General features: G+C 54.1%; 1 protein-coding gene across 32 annotated transcripts in view, besides 4 other annotated features; it reads left to right on the top strand.

Moving 5' to 3' along the window:
• The window catches only part of SHANK2 (SH3 and multiple ankyrin repeat domains 2), a 785,381-nt gene that overhangs the window by 715,077 nt on the left and 51,283 nt on the right, over nt 1-19,021 (top strand). The window lies entirely within an intron of this gene.
• Nucleotides 9,984-10,940: an enhancer, noted in NCBI's record as "H3K4me1 hESC enhancer chr11:70373323-70374279 (GRCh37/hg19 assembly coordinates)". NCBI's record gives its function as "activates a minimal SCP1, AML or CMV promoter by ChIP-STARR-seq in naive H9 embryonic stem cells {active_cell/tissue: H9 hESC(naive)}" and the evidence as "EXISTENCE:reporter gene assay evidence [ECO:0000049][PMID:30033119]".
• Nucleotides 11,897-12,854: an enhancer, noted in NCBI's record as "H3K27ac-H3K4me1 hESC enhancer chr11:70371409-70372366 (GRCh37/hg19 assembly coordinates)". NCBI's record gives its function as "activates a minimal SCP1, AML or CMV promoter by ChIP-STARR-seq in primed H9 embryonic stem cells {active_cell/tissue: H9 hESC(primed)}" and the evidence as "EXISTENCE:reporter gene assay evidence [ECO:0000049][PMID:30033119]".
• Nucleotides 12,855-13,810: an enhancer, noted in NCBI's record as "H3K27ac-H3K4me1 hESC enhancer chr11:70370453-70371408 (GRCh37/hg19 assembly coordinates)". NCBI's record gives its function as "activates a minimal SCP1, AML or CMV promoter by ChIP-STARR-seq in primed H9 embryonic stem cells {active_cell/tissue: H9 hESC(primed)}" and the evidence as "EXISTENCE:reporter gene assay evidence [ECO:0000049][PMID:30033119]".
• Nucleotides 13,811-14,768: an enhancer, noted in NCBI's record as "H3K27ac-H3K4me1 hESC enhancer chr11:70369495-70370452 (GRCh37/hg19 assembly coordinates)". NCBI's record gives its function as "activates a minimal SCP1, AML or CMV promoter by ChIP-STARR-seq in primed H9 embryonic stem cells {active_cell/tissue: H9 hESC(primed)}" and the evidence as "EXISTENCE:reporter gene assay evidence [ECO:0000049][PMID:30033119]".

Below are 19,021 nucleotides of genomic sequence, written 5' to 3'. Positions count from 1 at the left end.
CTCAGGCTGGGGAGGTGACAGTGACCGCCTGAATCCCCACTGGTCTCTGCCCCTCATCTCCACCGCTCGCTACTGCCCCGTGGGTGTGCTGGGCCCAGGATGGTCACGAGTGTTCAAGGGTAACGCCCCTCTGCAAGTGAGTGAGCTACTTTGAGATCACTGTTTTGTGACACTCATGGGGTCTCTCGCTGCCCTCTCAATGTAAATCCAGCTAGGGCAGGTGACTGGCCAGAGAGTTCCTCAGGGCACGTGCCCCATAAAATGCCTCCTGGAAGACCCCCCACGGGCCTCTGTGACCTGCTGCAGGGTTGACGTCGGCTACACCAGGCCTGGCCCCGCACACACGGTCCCTGTTGCCAGCAGAATGTCGAGGGTCCCCTCCGCAGAGCTGACTCGTGCCTCTGCAGGACTGAGCCAGGGCCCAGCCGCCTATTTCTTCACTTTGTTGGGTGTGTTTGAGTGGCCTGGGCTTGCCACAAGTGGCTACAAACGGGGCAGCTTCAAGCAAGGGGAATGTGTTCCCCTACAGTCCTGGGAGCCAGAAGTCAGACAGCAGCCTCACAGGGCTGCAGCCAGGTGTGGCAGGGCCCCGTGCCATCCCAAGACTCCGGGGAGGAGGCCTCCTGCCACTTCTAGCTTCTGGGGGCTCCCAGCGTTCCTTGGCTTGGCTGCATCCTGTCTCTGACTTCATCTCCACATGCCCTCTCCCAGCTGTGTGTCTCCTCCTCTTCTGTCTCTTACGAGAACACGTGTCATTGGATTTTAAACCACCATAAATCCCGGGTCATATTCTGTTGAGAAACATAATTACATTTGCAAAGACTTTTTCCAAATAAAGTCATATTCACAGGTTCCGGGGACTAGGACATATCTTTTGGGGGCTGCCATGCTGGCCCTGGGGGCTTCTTTCCTAATGAGCATCCTGGGGGGAGGTTTCCCTCCTCCGCTTCTCAGGCCTAAATTCTGGAGGGGCTGTTGGGGACACCCCTGCAGGGGACTCTGAGAGGGGGGCGCTCAGGGAACTTGGCAGATCCTTTCAAACTAGGATCTCAGTGTTTGGGAGGCCCTGAGGGAGCAAAAGGAGCATGGGCAGACCGTGCCCCCACCCCTCCCCAGCCTCATCTGGGGAACCCTCTTCTAGCTGACGTACGACACAAAGCCCAACACTCAACACGGCTCAGAAAATGCTGTTTATTTCCTGGAGTAAGAAGGGTCCTCTGCTCTGTCCTCACCCCATGGTTCTCTCCTTCACCAAGAGACACTGGGCTGGGATGAGCTCAGACCAGCCATGTACCACAGCTCTTGGAGAATGGGCACCCATGCAGTGGAACACTACTTGGCCATAAAAAGGAAGAAAGTGATGAGACATGCCACCTTGTGGGTGAGCATGGAAGGGGTGACACTGAGTGAAAGAAGCAGATACAAAAGGTGGCACGGTGCACGGTTCCATTTTCACGAAATGTCCAAGACATTGGCTCAAGAAGTGAGAGCCAAGCCTGAGGTGTCTGACCCCAGCTGAAGGGGAGCCACAAGCCTGAAGCCCAGGAGCTCATGGGAGACACTGAGTGTGGGAATCGGGTCCCTGGGAGTGGGCCCTGTGCCCACCGCAGCCATGTGGGTGCAGACACAGCCTCAGGATCGGCCGGCCATTCTGCCTCTCGGGTTCACCAGAGGCCACAGCTGGGCCTCATGGGGACAGCTCGCCAGCCTGGGTGGGGACAGCCCTGGGGTGCACAGCCACACTTTGCTGGCTGTGGAGTGGCCTCCAGCCTACAGAGCCGGCCCACACACTGACGCAGCTCCGGTTTTATTTTAGACCAAGCCTCATCTCAGCTTGGTCCAACGGAGTTGAACTTTAACAAACAACAAGCGTGATGAGCCCGCCACACCCCGCCACTTACAGCTGGCCCAGCCCCTGGCACTGTGAGCTCCGCTCAGACCACACAGGGCAGGCTCAGCACAGAGCCGGGCAGTGAGGCCAGGGTAAGGAGGTCTCCTGGGTCGGTGCCTCCAGCAGACCTGGGTGGGCTTCAGCCCAGGGTGAGGGCCCCCAGGGGGCAGGCATGGTGCTGTCGGTGGCTGGGGCCTGGGGGTGCAGGTGTGTCCACGTGCCTTGGCGACAGTGTGTGCACCTGCAGAGAGTTGGGCCCTGTAGGGCTGGTCTGGCTTCAGGCCCAGCCCCCACGCAGCCCCCTCAGTCAACCAGCCTCGGGTGAGCCACATGTCCATTCTGGGCTATGTGCCTTTCCTGGGGTCTCCGGCCAGTCACTGCTTCCCCCACAGCTTACCAGGCCCTGACACCTTCTTCTCAGGCTCCCAAGCTTCCCAAGTGCCTGGGCCCAGCTCCCTGCCAGCGGATGGCCCACCCGAACCTCTCCTGCCCCGTGGAGCACAGGGACTTCCCACAGTGCTGCTGGGTGGCCCTGCTGCAGGGCTGGCCTCGGTCCCCCTGGGTGGCCATCCTCCTGCCCAACTGTGCAGCCCTTAAAGGCGGGGCCAGGAGTTATTCATTCCCCAGCGTCTAGCACAACACTTGACCTCACAGAGGCAACCTGACAGACATGAGATGCACCAGCAGACAGAAGGACGGGGAGATGGACGAACAGACAGATGAATAGACTGATGGATGATGGTGAATGGATGAATAGATGGACGGACGGACGGATGGATGGATGGATGGATGGATGGACGGACGGACTGATGGTTGGACTGATGGATGATGGCAGATGGATGGATGGATGGATGATGGATAAATGGATGGACTGGTTAGACTGATGGATGATGGCAGATGGATGATGGTAGATAATGAATGGATGAATGGAAGAACAGAGGGATAGAGTGATGGATGGACTGAATGATGGAGGATAGAGGATGGATGGAAGGACAGATGGATGGATGGAGTAATGGATGGATAGAGCGATGGATGGACTGACTCATGTGGGAAGATGGATTAGGTGAGCAGATGGATGGAAAATGGATAATAGAGGGTGGGAGGGAGGAAGGTGTTCGTGGGAACCATCCCTGGTCATGAGCACTACTTCATGTGCCTGCCTCACCTGCCCCAAAGCCAGTCTTCCCTCCAGGTCAGCTCTGCCCTGTTCAACATGGGTGGGAAGCAGAGTGTGAGAGCTGAGGACCACCCTGACCAGGGTCCTGGAGCCATGGCTCCTTTGTCAGTGTTTCCCCAGCCAGAGGCACTATCCACATCTCCTGCCCCTGCATAGCTAACGAACTTGACTATCCTCATCTCTGTTGGGCCGAAGCAGCTTCATGGCCTGACTGCACTCTCGGTGAGGCAGACAGTCAAGGGAAAGACCGTCATGCAGATCGTGAGTCCCCACCTCGCCATTGTCCTCTACATCCCTCGGTCTGTGCAGTAGTGTCTGAAGCGTCACCTGAACTGATGAACTGTGTCACTGTCATTTATGGGAAGAAGTGACATGCTAGAGTGAAGCCACCAGTTTGGACTCCCCAGCAGTCTTAGGACACTGTCATTCTTTCATCCAGCTGGCATTTGTTGAAGCCAGCCTGGCTCAGGGGCAAGACCACAGACTGCAGACCAGGACACCTGGGGCCTTGTCCCAGCCCTGTGTCCTGCCCTGGGCCCTCCATGGTGGCTTCTGTCTGTGAATGGGGACAGCACCTGCCTCCCAGGGCTGAGCAAGGACTTAGTGAGTTACTGCCTGATATGGTTTGGCTGCATCTCCACCCAAATCTCATCTTGAATTGTAGTTCCCATAATCCCCATGTGTTGTGGGAGGGAACGAGTGGGAAGTAATTGAATCATGGGGGCGGTTACCTTCATGCTGTTCTCATGATAGTGAGTGAATTTTCACAAGATCTGATGGTTTTATAAGGGGCTTTTCCCCCTTTTACTCAGCATTTCTCTCTCCTGCCGCCATGTGAGGAAGGACGTGTTTGCTTCCCCTTCTGCCATGATTGTAAGTTTCCTGAGGCCTCCCCAGCCATGCAGAACTGTGAGTCAATTAAACCTCTTTCCTTTATAAATTACCCAGTCTTGGGTATGTCCTTAATAGCAGCAGGAAAACAGACTAATACACTGCCCCTCTAGGGCAGCGCCTAGCAGATACTGGCCTTTACTCCTCCTTCACCAAGAGACACTGGGCTGGGATGAGCTCAGACCAGCCATGTACCACAGCTCTTGGAGAATGGGCACCCATGCAGTGGAACACTACTTGGCCATAAAGAGGAAGAAAGTGATGAGACGTGCCACCTTGTGGGTGAGCATGGAAGGGGTGACACTGAGTAAAAGAAGCAGACACAAAAGGAGACATGGTGCACAGTTCCATTTTCATGAAATGTCCAGGACAGGCCGATTGGTGCTTGCCTATGGCTGGGGAAGGGGAGAGTGAGGACTGACTGCTAATGGGTAGGGGGTTTCCTTGTAGGGGGATGAACTAGAGGTGGTGCTTGCACAACACTGTGAATGTACTAAATGCCATGGAGTCGCACACTTTAAAAGTGTGAATTTTACATTATATAAGCTCATCTCAATTAAAGAAATATGCATGTCCCCCAAAAAGCTGATGGGAGCCAGTCATTGGGGAACAGAGGGGCACCCAGCATGGCTGCGGCAGAGGGAACGCCAGGCAAGCAGGGGGAGGGGCCAGATGACATGGGCCCCCGGGTTGTGATTGGAGCTAGGTTGGACATTCTCAGCAGTTCTGACACTGGAATAAGGATGTAGAATTTGCACCTAGGAGTCTCTGTATTTGAGACCTTGAATCGATTGTCTTTTTAAAAAGAAGTCCAGGCACAGTGGCTCACACCTGTAATCCCAACACTTTGGGAGGCCAAGGCAGGAGGATCGGTTTAGCCCGGGAGTTTGAGACCAGCCTAGACAACACAGCAAGACCCCATCTCTACAAAAATAAAAGTCTAAAAATGTAAAATGTAAAAATACACATAAAATTCACCATTCAAAAGTGTACAGTGATATTCGACACAATCACAGGGTGTGCAACCATCACCTTCTTCCGGTTCCTGGACATTTCCATCACCCCAGAAGGAAACCCCGTCCCCAAGGGCCGTCCCTCCCATTGCCCCTCCCCCCAGCCTCCGGCAACGTCTGCTTTCCGCCGCTGTGAATTTGGCTACTCTGGACATTACATAGAAATGCAATCATGCAAAGTGGGGTGCTTCGTGGCTTCTTTCATTCAGCATCATGTCTCTGAGGCTCTCCTTGTTGGAACACGTGTCAGCATTTCATTCCTTTCTGTGAGTGTCGCACTGTATGGCTCGACCACAGAGTGTTATTCATCCCTCTGTCCGTAGACACTGGGTTGCGTCCATCTTTTGGCTACTGAATGGTGCTGCTGTGGACACTCATGCGCACGTGTCGGTCTAAGACCCTGCTCTGAATTATTCTGGGGTTATAAGTAGGCATGGAATTGCTGGGTCATTGGGTAATTCTGTGTTTAACTCTTTGAGGAACCTTCAAACTCTTTCACTGCAGCTGCACCATTCTGCATTCCCACTAAATGCTTTTTTTTTTTTTTCCATGGACAATGGACTGTATTGGGAGCTGGCTTCACTGTGCTGTGCCTGCTTCCCTGGAAGAGGGGCTCTGGGCCTCTTTCTGGGTTGTGACTCCATTTTAGAGTCTGGCGAGGACCAGGGGCCCTCCCTCTAGGAAAATGCACGCACACAGACCCACAATTCTGCCCATAGACTTGAGGCGTTTGCTGATGGGCCACCTCTGTGAGCCCACAATACCTTTGTGCAAATGTGAGAAGGCCCCCCACTCTAGGCAGGCATGCCAGCAGCTGTGCACAGCATGGGGGGCAGAGCACAGAGTGGACTTGAACACCACCCCCAGCAGACCCCCTTGTGGAGTGAACAACCTACACAGTTGTCCAGGGCAGTCCTGCCTGCTGACACCCGGAAACACATTTATCTTGCACAGTATGGGGGCACCTGCCTTATGGAACTGACATGTTCCTGAGAACAGCTGCTGCCACAGGAATTTCAGCTCAGCATGCCTGAAATTTCAACTCATGCTCAGCATTGAGTTTCTCAATGACAAGCAAAAGAATCAAGGAGATTTGTTTCCTTGGGCCTCTCTGCCCAGGTGCAGTGATCCAGAGGGAAGAAGCCCAGGTTGGAGGAAAATGCTCAGAGCTCCGTACCCAGCCTCTGTCCTAGAGAGGGGCATATATCCCAGAACTGTCACTACACACCACGGTCCAGGCAGACAAGGAGAGATCTGGTCCCTACTGTCAGCTCCGGGAAGGTTTGGCAGAGACAAGCCCCAGCACCCAGAGCTGCGAGGCAGGAAAGAAATGTATGGGGAGAAGTGGAGCTGCAAGGACCCCGTCTCATCAGTGGGGGGCCAGCCAGCAAGTGACCAGGTGTGGAGAAGCCACTTCCAGCCCCGAGTGACATGCAGGCCCAGGACTTCCCAAGGCGCTCAGTGTCTCTGCGCTCCTACCCAGTCCCCATGCCAGCCCCGAGGTGCTGCTTATCCCCACTCCTAGGACGCAGAGGCGCAGCAAAATGCCTGTGGCCACACAGCAAGGCCTGGGGACACTGAGATGGGACCTTAGCCCTAGACTTGTCCTCACAGCCCTGCTGCATGCCACAGTCACCCTGCCTGCCCTGGCATGATCCCAGGCCTCCCTGGGGCCTCACCCTCAACCGTGACCTGGGAACAGTCGTCCACCCGCGAGGCAGTCAGTCTAGTGTGGGACAAAGAAAACCCCAGCTCACCTCTGCCAAGCATGCACCCCAGGCTCAGGCCCCCGGGCGCGTGGGTGCATTTGCATTTGATCCTCCAAGACCCCAAAGAGTGGCCCCACCACCAGCCCCCAGCACAGATGGATGCAAAGGCCCAGAGAGGCACTCATGGGGCTGGCAGGTGAGGCGCCTGGGCCTGGGCCATGCCTCTCCCTTTTAAAAAGTTATTATTTTAAATCATAGTAAAATACATGTAAACTCTATAATCTTAGCCTTTTTGTTTTTTTTTTTTTTTTTTTTTTTTTTGAGACAGTCGTGCTCTGTTGCCCAGGCTGGGGTACAGTGGTGCCATCTTGGCTCATTGCAACCTCCACCTCAGCCACCAAGTAGCTGGGATTACAGATGTGCGCCACCAAGCCCGACGAATGTTTTATTTATTTATTTATTTTTGTATTTTTAGTAGAGATGGGGTTTCACTATGTTGTCCAGACTGGTCTCAAAGGCCTGGCCTCAAACGATCCACCCGCCTCGGCCTCCCAAGGTGCTGGGATTACAAGCATGAGCCACCAAGCCCGGACAAAATCTCAGCCATTTTTAAGCATACACTTCAGTATACTTACATTGTTGTGCAATCGTCACCACTATCCATCTCAGAACTTTCCATCTTCCCAATAAACACTGTCCCCAGTAAACTCCGTCCCCAGTAAACACTAGCTCTTCATTCTCTCTTCTCCCAGCCCCGGGCACCCACTGTTCTACTTTCTGTCTCTGTGGATTTGGCTACTCTAGGGACTGCAGATAAATGGAATCACACAGTATTAGTCCTTCTGTGTCTGGCTTATTTCGCTGAGCATGATGTCCTCAAGGCTCATCCACGTTGTAGTATGTGTCAGCACTTCCTTCCTTTTGTGTTTTTAAATTTTTTTGAGACAGGGTCTTGCTCTGTCACCCAGGCAGGAGTGCAGTGGTATGATCATAGCTCAGTGCAGCCTCAAATTCCCGGGCTCAAGCAATCCTCCCACTTCAGCCTCCCGATTAACTGGGATTACAGGCACGTGTCACCACACCCGGCTAGTTTTTAATTTTTTTGTAGAAATGGTGTCTCACTGTGTTGCCCAGGCTGATCTCGAACTCCTGGGTGCGAGGATTGTTTCAGCCCGGAAGTTTGAGACCAGCCTGGGCAACATAGTGCAGAGATTACAGGCATGAGCCACGGTGCCCGGCCTCCTCCTTTTCACGGCTGAGTAATATTCCATTGCATGGATAGACCACATTTTGTTTATCCACTCATCCATCAGGGGACATTTGGGTTGCTCCCACCTCTTGGTTATTGCGATGACGCTGCTGTGAACATGGTGAGCAAATATCTGCTTGAGTCCCTGCATTCCTTTCTCTTCTTCTGTACCCAGGAGTGGAATTGCTGGATTATGTGGTAACTCTGTTGAGTGTTGAGGAATGCCATACTGTCTTCATAGCAGCCGCACCATCCTACATCCCCACAACCCAAACCATAAATGGTCGTAACTGGTAAGCAAAAAAACCAACTGTGGTCTGTCTGTGCAATGGAATATTATTCAGCCATAAAGAGGAACAGAAGACTGATGCCTGGTCCAACGTTGTGAACCCTGAAAACATGAGGCCAGGTGAAAGACGCCAGGCATGAAAGGCCAGATAGTGTCTGATTCCTTTCACATGAAATGCCCAGAATAGGCAAATCCACAGAGACAGGGAGGAGGTGAGCGGTTACCAGTGGGAGGGGGAGGGGAGTGACTGCTTATGAGTGCAGGGTTTCCTTCTGGGGTGACAAAAACATTCTGGAACTAGATAGAGGTGGTGGTTGCAAAGTGCTATGACTGTACTAAATGTTATCAATGGTCAGTGTTAGGCCACGTGTATTTTACCACAATGCGAAGGTGTATAGATCTTGGAATCCCTGTCAGGAGAGGAGGACCTTCTAGGCTATTCTAAAATAACCCAGAATCTGCATCCGCCGCACTGCAGCCTGCATCCCACGGCACCTTGTGGGGGGTTTTGGGTGGTAATGGGGAACCCGTGTGTTGAACCCCAACTGCCCGGTTCCACTGCACCAGCCACCATTACCAGCTGTGTGGCCTTGGCCAAGTCACCCGCCTTCTCTGGGCCCAGCCTCCCATCTGGAAGATGGGGATGCAGTAGTGGCTGCTGACAGGGCTGCTGGGAGGACTGGGTGAGATTCTGCAGTGGGTACAGACCCTGCTGTTGCAAGTAGTGGGTGCCATGATGGTTTCCTAGCATGACATGGGTCCTGAGCTGGTGCCACATGAGACACTGGTCCTGGCCTGGTGTGCCACTGGCTCCCCAGGCACCCGTTTCTTACTCCCTGGTCCCAAAGGGGAGTAAGTGACCAGGGTGTCTGAACCCCACTGAGTTCCGCCCCAAGCCAGGCTCCAGGATGCCCCATGATCTGCCCCCATCATCACATTGAGGAGATCCCGTCTCCTCCCCTAAGGCTCCCACAAGGCCACCAGTGGGGGGAAATCGTCACGGGGGCCTCCCCAGGACCTTTTATTTCTTCAAACAGGGGAGCCCCTCCTGAGAGGCGGGTGTGGGGACCCTGGAGCAGGAGTCGCCACCTGGGTTCCTCTGGGTGCTGTGCTTCTCCCAGCTCGCCGGCTGCCACGGACCCCCCTTCACCTTTCACCCTCCCCCACTTGGCGTAGGTGATCTCCCCCACGGATGCCGAGGACGCTTCCTTCCTTCCATGCCCCTGGGGAGCCGGCGAGCTGACCCGCTTGTCAGGGCATAGTAAAGAATCGCCCAGGAGAGACCCCCTTCTGCCCTCAGCCTCAGGCTCTGCCGGGCCTGCTTCTGCCTGGGCCTTCATCAGGATGCAGGAGCCCCCCTCCCCATGGAGCTCTGCTGCCCCCACGCTGGCTGACCGGGGCAGGCTAATGGAGCTCTGGGCAACTTGAACACTGCGCAGTAAACGGGAAAGAGCCCCATCCAGCCCCTCCCATGGGTGCCATAAAGGGCCATGAACTGGGGTGTTCTTGTGGGACCTGGAGCCCCTTTCCAGGGTCCCATGGCCACCAGGTGGCACCTGCATTGCGCGTCGAGGCACTGGCAAGGAGCCTCGCGTCAGCCCAGGAGGCTGCATCCCTGCTGAGGACCTGCCAAACCTTCCTGCTTCCACCGGATACTAGGGCACCACAGCAGCCCGAGAGCCACGTTCGTCCCACACATGGACAACCTGACCCTCAGACCTCAGGGACGCCTGGGGACGGGGTCTCGGCCTCTCGGCCTGCCAGATCCTCAGCTGGGGCTGGCAGCATCACGCCGAGGTGCACCTGATGCTCGGTTGGTTTCTGCGCCGCCATCCTGGTTCCTACCTTCTGCCTTGTCGTCTGGGTCCGGATCATCTGCAGGGATGGGAGGACGGTCATGAGAGTGTGGCCTGCCCATTTGCTGCAGATGCTCCTGGCAGCTCTCCAGGTCCTTAACATGCACTCAGGCCCCTCCCTCTCACCACCATCCCATTTTGTGGCTGAGACACCTGAGTCCCTGGCAAGGTCTGGGTCGCCCGGTGAAGGAGCATGGGCGGGAGTCTGGCTGCCTGGCTGCCTCCGCAGCCTCCTCTCTGCCCTTTGCCCTGGTCTGCCATTGTCCCTGGGTGTCCTCTGTCCTCTGTCCTAGCCTCCTGAAGGAGAGTCAGGCACATTCGTAGCTCAGCTTATCAGAGGGGCCTTCTCCATGACCTCGGAGTCTGAGTCACCACCACATCCCCTGAGAGGCCACATGAATGGCCAGAGAGATTTGGGGGCCCGGCCTCAGGGCCCCTGCTCCTTTCACCACCACGGGGGCTCCAGGGAGGAGGCGCCTCTCAGACCCGAGCTGGCTGATGACACCATCAGTGCCATCTCCAGGCTGCTGGAGGCCATTTATAGCAACTGCCCTTCTGAGTGAGGAGCAAATGAGTATTTTAAACACACCAGGAAGCCATGCCACTTTAGGATTCCCCAACTTGAATCAGGCCCCACCTGAGCCCACACCATTCCCCAGGGCCCACTGGGAAGCGGGGACCATGGGGGTCGTTCTAGAATGAGCTGCAGGTGACTGCAAGCTCTGCTCAAGAGGAACAAGGTCAGGGTGAGTCCAGCCCGGCCCCAGAAGGGGTCAGCACAAGTCCACAGCCAGGCCGGCACCACACCCTCCCCAGGAGGCTTTAACTACAGGAGTCCTGGGGGTGGGGACAGGGACAGGACCCAGGCAGAATGTTCAGGAGCATCTGGTCAATAAAGGACCAGGTCTCTGGGCTCTCCCTCCCCACACAGGGCCCGCCCAGACCACAGCTGTGGAATCAGAGCCGTTTGTGGGTCAGAACACCAGCACGATGTGGAGGAGGCCTGGAGGCCAGGATCAGGGAAGGGGACGGTGTGAGGAGGGTCTGGGATGTGGTCGTGTAGGAAGCGTTGAGGACTGGGAGCGTCTGGTCAGCAGCCAAGGTGACCTGGGCGGGGCGGTTGGCATACCTCTGAGACGAGGACAGGGATGCTCCCAGGGTGGTGGCCAGATGGGGCCGGTACAGGGAGGAGAGTGGGCTCAGAGGGGCTCCCCCGGGATGTGATTCCGAGGGGGCCAGGCCTGCAGAGGTCGGCAGCACATGATAGGGGGTGTTCAGGAGGGAGGGAGGGGGTCCTTGCCTGAGAGTAGGGGAGGGGGAGGAGTGGTGTCAACTGAAAAGAAATCACAAAATCATAAAATTTCGAAAGGAGACTTTATTTTGTAAAGGGTTACGCCTGCGAGGTGGCATTGTGACCAGCTGGGAAGCATAGCCTCTGGCCAAAGCCGGAAGCAGGCACTTCAGGGGAGTGGGGCTGGAATGAGGATACGCTGGCTAAGCACACTCAGCAGGTTATAGAAGCCATGAGTATTCACACAGGGGCCCTGACGCGTGTGCGCTGAGCACACATGCATGGTACACGCCTCCCATGTTCACCTCGGGGTAGAGACTTAACATTGAAAGGCATGGCAATCAGGCCCTGCATGTGGAAAGGTGAAGCAGGGACTCAAAGGGGCTCAGTGCAGCCTCTGTGACCCAGCGAGAGCCAGCCCACGGCCAGTGGTCTCTTGTCAGGAGAAAGTCACTGAAATCAGTCTCTTGTCCAGTCACAGCTGTGGTTATGGCTGGTGGAACACAGGCCAGCTGTCAGTGTCTGGAGGTGGATGAGCTACAATTATATTAATGTTGCTTATCCCAAGGCCAGCGCTTGCTTAGCTGCTAGAGAATCAGAAAAGCCTTGTGGCGGCCAGAATCCACCTTATTCTTAGGTTTAGGGTGCAGGATCACCTTGCCTGGCATGGCCTCAGGTCTTGTTTATAGTTTGGTGTCTTATTGCTACCAGGAGTTCATTCCATTACTCTCCGGATCTCTGTTTTAATGTGAGTGCTGGCCAGTTGTGTCTGAATTGAAAAGGTGGGTGGGGGGTGGGGGCAGAGTATGCCAGGGCCTGTCCTCCTGAGAGAGGCCTGCTGGCTGAGAATGATGGGCAGTTGCCCCCCAGGCCACCAAGACTAAGGTGGAGAAGTCCAGCAGAGGAGACAGGAGTCACAGAGCAGGGAGGGGGAAGGAAGCTTCTGAGAACAGGACTTTCCCGCCATCACCTCCACAAAACTAAAGGAGCCACATCCCTGGGGGCTAGGAGGGGGGTTAGCTGGAGAGCAGAGATCCCCTTCTGAGTGTGCTGTTCAGGGGGCAAAGTGGTGGCTTGGTCCCATCCAGGACCTGGTGTGTGTGTTTACGGGGGTGCCAGGGCTCCGTTCCCCTGGCGTTGGGAGGTGGGGCTGCACAGTACCAGGACCCTGTTCGCTCCTGTTCTGATGCTGCCAACCCTGGCATTTCAAAAGAAAGAGCCTGTTTTCTCCCCTACCTCGAAGCTCGTTTCCAAATGCCCTTTTCTCTCACCTCTCTCTTAGTCTGTCTCATGCTCCTAGCAGAAGGCAGAAAAAAAAAAATCCACCATCCCCTGCCCATCCCTGGGCCTGCTGGCTGGGGTTCACAGACCCGGGATGAGCTGTCCTGGGTGTTAGGGGCTGCTGTCCTTAACTCTTGGAGAGGGGCTGCCACCCACAGAGTCTGTTCCTTGGGTGAGCCTGGGGACTGGTACACAAAGCTAACAGAAGTGACCTAGCTGGGCAAGCCTGGGCAAGGTATACACCGTGGCCCAGGAGCAAGCCAGAGAGGTGTTTCCCAGAAGAAGAGTTACCTGCGGAGAAGGGCCTGGATGCGCTCCCAAGTCCTCGAGGCCTGCACTGGGATTCTGTTGCTGGTGCTGGCCAGAGCCTCCACACGCGTCCCTGTTTGCCATGGGTACTGTAAGTGTCGCTGCAGCTGCCGGGCTGTCAAGCCGATTGGCAGCAAGGCCTGTGCTGCTGCAGCTGGGACCTGCACAGAGCCTTATCTTACTCTGGTCCCCACTAGAAGCGGGCAGGCTTGCAGAGGACTTTGTAGATGGGCTGGAGAAAATGTTCAAATGTGGCCTGTGTTGCCTCCACACTCCACAAAGACCTGCCAAGCCTCGTGCCTGTGTGCGTGTGAGCATGTATGTGTCCATGTGTGCATGAGATGGTGAGAGGCAGCGGAATGTTCCCCCCTTGGAGGGGCTATCTCAACATGTTCCAGAGCACTGAGGACGCAGAACCCTCACTGAACTGGCAGGCCCCTGCATCTCTGTGGGCTTCCCCCACCCTTCTTTGCATAGAAGGCATCCGAAGCATTTGCTACTTCCTGCTCATGATCTAGTTACCGTAATGTCATCAGTATCGTGGACAGCATGATGTTTTCTGGAAAGCTGAGCTGATGGGATCTCTGAGGGCCCCGGCATGGCAGAGAGCAGGAGGCTCGGGGTAGCCTGAGGACGGGCTGTGCATGTGGACCACTGGTGTTGTCAGGTGAAAGCAGACTCCTACTAGTACTCCTTGCAGATCAATGTGGAGCAAAGGAATTCACAAGGTCTTAGCTGCATCCGAGTGTCTGGGGTTGTACCGATTTGCTCCGGTAAAGATAGCACATTGGGAACAGCAACCTCAGTGGGTGTCACCACCAGATTAAGTTGAAGATAGTCCATACCTTTCTCCAGGCTCCCTGGGACTCTGTGCATCCACGCTGGTAAGGCGAGCGTGGATGTGAGCGACACAGCTGCCCCTGGTGCTTTCCCATCTCCGATGGTGGCATTCACAGCTGCACTGCCCCCCAGGGGGTGGGACTGCTCTTGGTTACTCTCCTGGTAGAGAGGGGAGGACCCAGGGCTCCGCTGTAGCTTCTGTCCCTCATCTGTAAAATGGGATCCCGTCGCCACCTGGTCCATAGGGTGCTAGTGAGGACTGAATGGTGTAACTATGTGAAGTCCTTAGCCCAGGGGCAGCCATGTCGTCAGTGCTCAGTTGACACTGGCTGTTAATATTCCCTTGCTAGTCACGCTGCAAATATGGCCAGGCCCCCTCATGTGCCAGGTATTCAGCCTGGGCCCTGACCCCTGACAGGGGCCTTGAAGCCAGCATGCAGTGGCCGTGCGGAGCAGCACAGGGGAGGGAGGACAGCTGAAGGACACAGCAGGATGAAGGGTGCTGTCAGAGGAAGCTACCCCAGCTCTCCGACTCTGCCTCCATATGATGCTCTTCCACTGCTTTGAACTGAAATTATGGATATTCTTGTTGAGAACAAGATAGTGGACTGAGAATCCCGTACAGCCCCTGATTCGTGCACAGCCCAGCCCCAGCAGCGAGCGCCTCCTGACACAGGAAGCGGTGAACACTGCCCTCCAGGACCGGCTGCTGCACAGGGTACATGGGAAGGACAGCCAGGGAGGGGGCAGGACCATAGACAAAGCCTGCTTAGGTGGGAAAGCCGGGCTGCAGTACAGGGCTTCGGGGCAGCACCGGGGATCCTCCCCAGCAGAGCAGGGCCTCTGCATCCCCCCTTCCAGTCACACACCCGTCCTCAGGCATTCTCATGGATAGACTGCCAGAACTGCTGCTCCCCTGCTGCAGATAGAGCTGATGAGGGCCAGAGCCCTGCTCTGAGGTCACAAACTCACCTGACAGTGGGGCAGCTGAGACTTGAACCCAGGCATTCCTACCCTGCTGTGTTTTACCACAGTCCCAAAGAGAACTGCTCAATAGTATTTATAGAGCACCTGCTGCTGTGAGGGCTGGGAATCTGTATTTGTAACCAGTCGCATTGAGGTGTGAGGCCAGCCTCCTCCTGGTGCTCTGGACAGAGAGGCCTCCCGGTGTGCACACAGCAGCCAGCTGGCCCGGGCAGATGCAGAAGCACACCCTGCTGTGCCACCCGCGTGCTTTGATGCTCGGGGAGGAGCAGGAGACAAGCAGCTGCCCCTCCACACCCACACCAGCATTGCAGGTGTGGGCCTGTGGGTTTCCTTGCACCCGCAAGCCCTCTGCCGGAGACCTCGTGGCACTGTGTGTAAACATTTTTCAAAGAGGGTGTGGATTGGAGCTGCGGGTCTGGAGGGAGGCCTCAGTGAAGGTAGCCTGCCCGCGGCCGCACGTTGCCGGGGCAACTGTGGCCGCTAAGAGAGGAGCTGTGGCATTTAGGGGCCCAAATGCCTGGCTGGCTTGGGGCGGCTTCCCTTCTGCACGAGTCTCAAATGATGCCGCCTGGTTGGAGGTGGGGGCAGTGCCCTTCTCTTCCTTCTTTCCTCTCCCCCTCTGATGGCTGCAATAACTGAGGGACTGGGACACGGTCCGAATGGATGCCAAGGACAGCCTTGAAAAAGCTTAGACAGTGTGAGCAGGTGGCCGGCCAGCCCGCGGAGCTGGAGCCGGGTAAGGGGCCTGGGCTTTCAAAGCCTGAGCCAGCAGGGACTCGGAGGCCCTGGGTAGGATGAGAGACGATAGAGGGGGTACCACCAGAGAGCTTTCTAGTCAAAGGAGGAAATAAGATCGGGGTTTGAATAAGCCATGGCTGGAGACAAGCTAAGAATTAATGAGAACCCTGCACGTGCAGAAGTGTGGCTGCCCTGGGAGGGCGCCCGTGCCTGGACAGCCATGCTGTGGCCACCCCTTTGGTACTTTCTTGTATCTTTTTCAAGAATAAATGAATTTTTAGAGGTTTGATTGGCAACGTCCAGCAAAAGAGGGACACTGCCAATCAATCAAATCTAGATAGAGGTTAAGCCGTGCATTCAGCCATGCACGCAGCAGGATAAGCCATCCTTAAAGAGGCAGAGACCAACAAGGACAGAGCAGAAACGGCGATGGCGGCTGCACAGCAAGTGGACTCAAAGGCCTCAGAAAGCTGGAGCGGGGCTGTGGTGGGGAAAGCTGGTACAGTCAGAATCACGTGGCGGAACTGCAAGAGGCTGTGGCCTCTGCCTAGGAGGTGGAGGTAGCCTGGGCTAAGGGCTGATGGGTAGTTTGGATAAGAAACCGTTAGAGCCAGCAACCCCACAGATGTGAACATAGCCCAAAGGTGCACTCGGAAAATTAGAACAAGGACTCACGTGGCTGTTTTCAGCTCTGTTTGGAGAGCAGAACACTAAGCACCAGACCCACCAGTAGGAGCCTGCAGTGTGTGCCGCGTAACAGCCTTGCAGCGAGGACATGTGGCTGCAGTCAGGTGCAGGGAGCGTCTCTGGGAGCTGCCGTGGCACCGTCTCCAGGGGGTGTTGTTACGTGGGAAAGGCAAGGCGAGAAGAATGTGACCAGCGTGCTGCTGTTTACCCAAGGAAGGTGGGGAGGGAATGTGCACACACACGTGCACACTCACCCACACACATGCTCACACTCACCCACACACATGCTCACGTGCACACACACATACACATACAGAAACACACAGGTATCTGCTCATTTCTCCTTTTTAATGGAAGGATAATCCACCAAAATAACTTGTTTTAATTTAGCATTGCCTCAAGGGGGAGAATACAAGAAGAGGAAGTAGAAGAGAGAGAGTAGCAGGTTCAATTTTGGAATTGAGTAAATATTTCACGTAATTGTAAAACAGTCAAAATTTCAAAAATCTCAAAATCCAAAACAAAATAATAGAAATGAACATAACTGCTAATTAAATTAATGGCATTAACAAATTATGTCAAGTGGCAATTTGCATGTCATTGCAAACTGGAAAGAAATCATAACCTCTTTTCGGTAATCCTGTTATGAGTAATGACATTGGTGGTGTTAGTCTGAAAGTAATGATAGATGGATAGATGATTAATAAATGATAGAGCAAATAGATCATGACCTTAATGGCAGTCATTAGGAACCTAGATTTTCAGCAAAGAGAAAGAGACACCAATATAAAAGAAAATAAGTAAAAACAGCATCATCCTAAATTTCTGTTGAAGCTATCAGTATAATCATGAAGAGGGTAGAATATTTTGTCACATCCAAAAGCAAGGAAGGTATTGAAGACACAAAGTCACATGTGATGGGCTCAGGAGCCAGTGTGAGGAAGGGCTGCTCATACAGCACAGTGGAGGATTCGAAAGCACGGCAAAAGGTAGCAGCCTAGAGCATCCTGTAGAACCGGAAAGGAAGGAAGTGGTCAAAAAACAAAAGGCTGGAGCAAATCCCAGGGAGCTCCCAGAGGCCAAGGAGCTCCCAAAGACCACGGCCGGGACAATTTGAGCTAGAAAATAAAGTCACATTTGGTTATCATTCAAAGTACAACATGAGTATTCATGGGTCCACACTGATAAATAAACAACTGAAAGATAAAGGGAGGAATAGACAAATCTTCCCTAACATGTGCAAAGATACTCTGTCCTCAAGGAGGTGGTGTGTAACTCCCCACCCCTTAGGTGTGGGCAGTATGCAGTGACTTGCTTTCGAGAGCACTGTGTGGAAAGTAGGGAAAGGAGAGTAACTTCACAGCGGGGGAGCCCAGTGAGCCCTCCCTTGGCCAGGCGAGCAGGGCCAGCACCAACAGCGAAAAGTCTTGGTGACAGTGTGTGCCCTCGATACTATGTGACAGGAATGGCTCTTTACCTCCTGAACACCCATATATACCTCAGTCTAATAATGAGGAAAAAAAATCTTAATTCAGGGGTAGAACAAAAGACCTGACCAGCAGCCAAAACTGTCAAGGTCAACAAAACAAAGTCTAAGAAACCATCCCAGCAGGCAGAGCCTAGAGCAGCAACTAAACGTAATGTGGTGCTCTGGACAGATCCTGGGACAGACAAGGGACGTCAGGTAAAAATTAGAGAAATCCGAATAAAATGTGGGCTTTAGTTAATGAAATATATCAATACTGGTTTATTAATTGTGACAAATGTCCCATACCAGTGTGAGATGCTAATAATAGGGGAAACAGTGTGGAGTGTATGGGAACTCCAGATACTGAGTTCACAATGTTTTTTGTAAATCTAAAACTATTCTAAAATAAAAGATTTGTTTAAAAACAAAGACTAGACCAGGCGTGGTGGCTTACGCCTGTCATCCCAACACTTTGGGAGGCTGAGGCAGGCAGATTGCTTGAGCCCAGGAGTTTGAGACCAGCCTGGGCAACATGGTGAGACCTTGCCTTTAAAAAAAAAAAAAAAAAAAAAAAAATTAGGCATGGTGGTGCATGCCTGTGGTCCTGGGTCCCAGCTACTTGGGAGGCCGAGATGAGAGAATCACTCGAGCCCAGGAGATCAAGGCTGCAGTGAGCTGAGATCATGCCACTGCACTCCAGCCCAGGTAACAGAATAAGACCCCGTTTCAATAAAATAAAATAAAAACAATAGTAATTGTAGTGGATTCAAACTTTTATCAGCTATGTTCTTATAAACATTCTTGAGTTCATAATGGCACTTTTTGTTTTTTTTTGAGACGGAGTTTCACTCTTGTTGCCCAGGCTGGAGTGCAATGGTGCGATCTCGGCTTATGGCAACCTCCGCCTCCTGGGTTCAAGCGATTCTCCTGCCTCAGCCTCCCGAGTAGCTGGGTTTACAGGCATGCACTACCACGTCGAGCTAATTTTATATTTTTAGTAGAGATAGGGTTTCTCCATGTTGGTCAGGCTGGTCTCGAACTCCTGACCTCAGATGGTCCACCTGCTTCCCAAAGTGCTGGGATTACAGGCGTGAGCCACCATGCCCCGCCCATAATGACACTTTTTAAAGAACTGGTCACTTGAAAGAAGTGACTCATTCACATGAAAACTGATGAAAGGCGAGTATCCGGCCCGTATCTGGGCCTTCTCACATACACTGTGCCTCAGAGTCATCCAAGTGTTGAAAAGGGAAAGTTTCTTCTTAAAAATTAGTGTGGCTGGGTGCAGTGCTCATGCCTATGATCCTAGCACTTTGGGAGGCCCAGGTGTATCACTTGAGCCCAG

This window comes from Homo sapiens, chromosome 11 (genome assembly GCF_000001405.40).
Source record: "Homo sapiens chromosome 11, GRCh38.p14 Primary Assembly".
Classification (NCBI taxonomy): Eukaryota; Metazoa; Chordata; class Mammalia; order Primates; family Hominidae; genus Homo; species Homo sapiens.
This window is presented reverse-complemented; position numbering and strand designations above follow the sequence as displayed.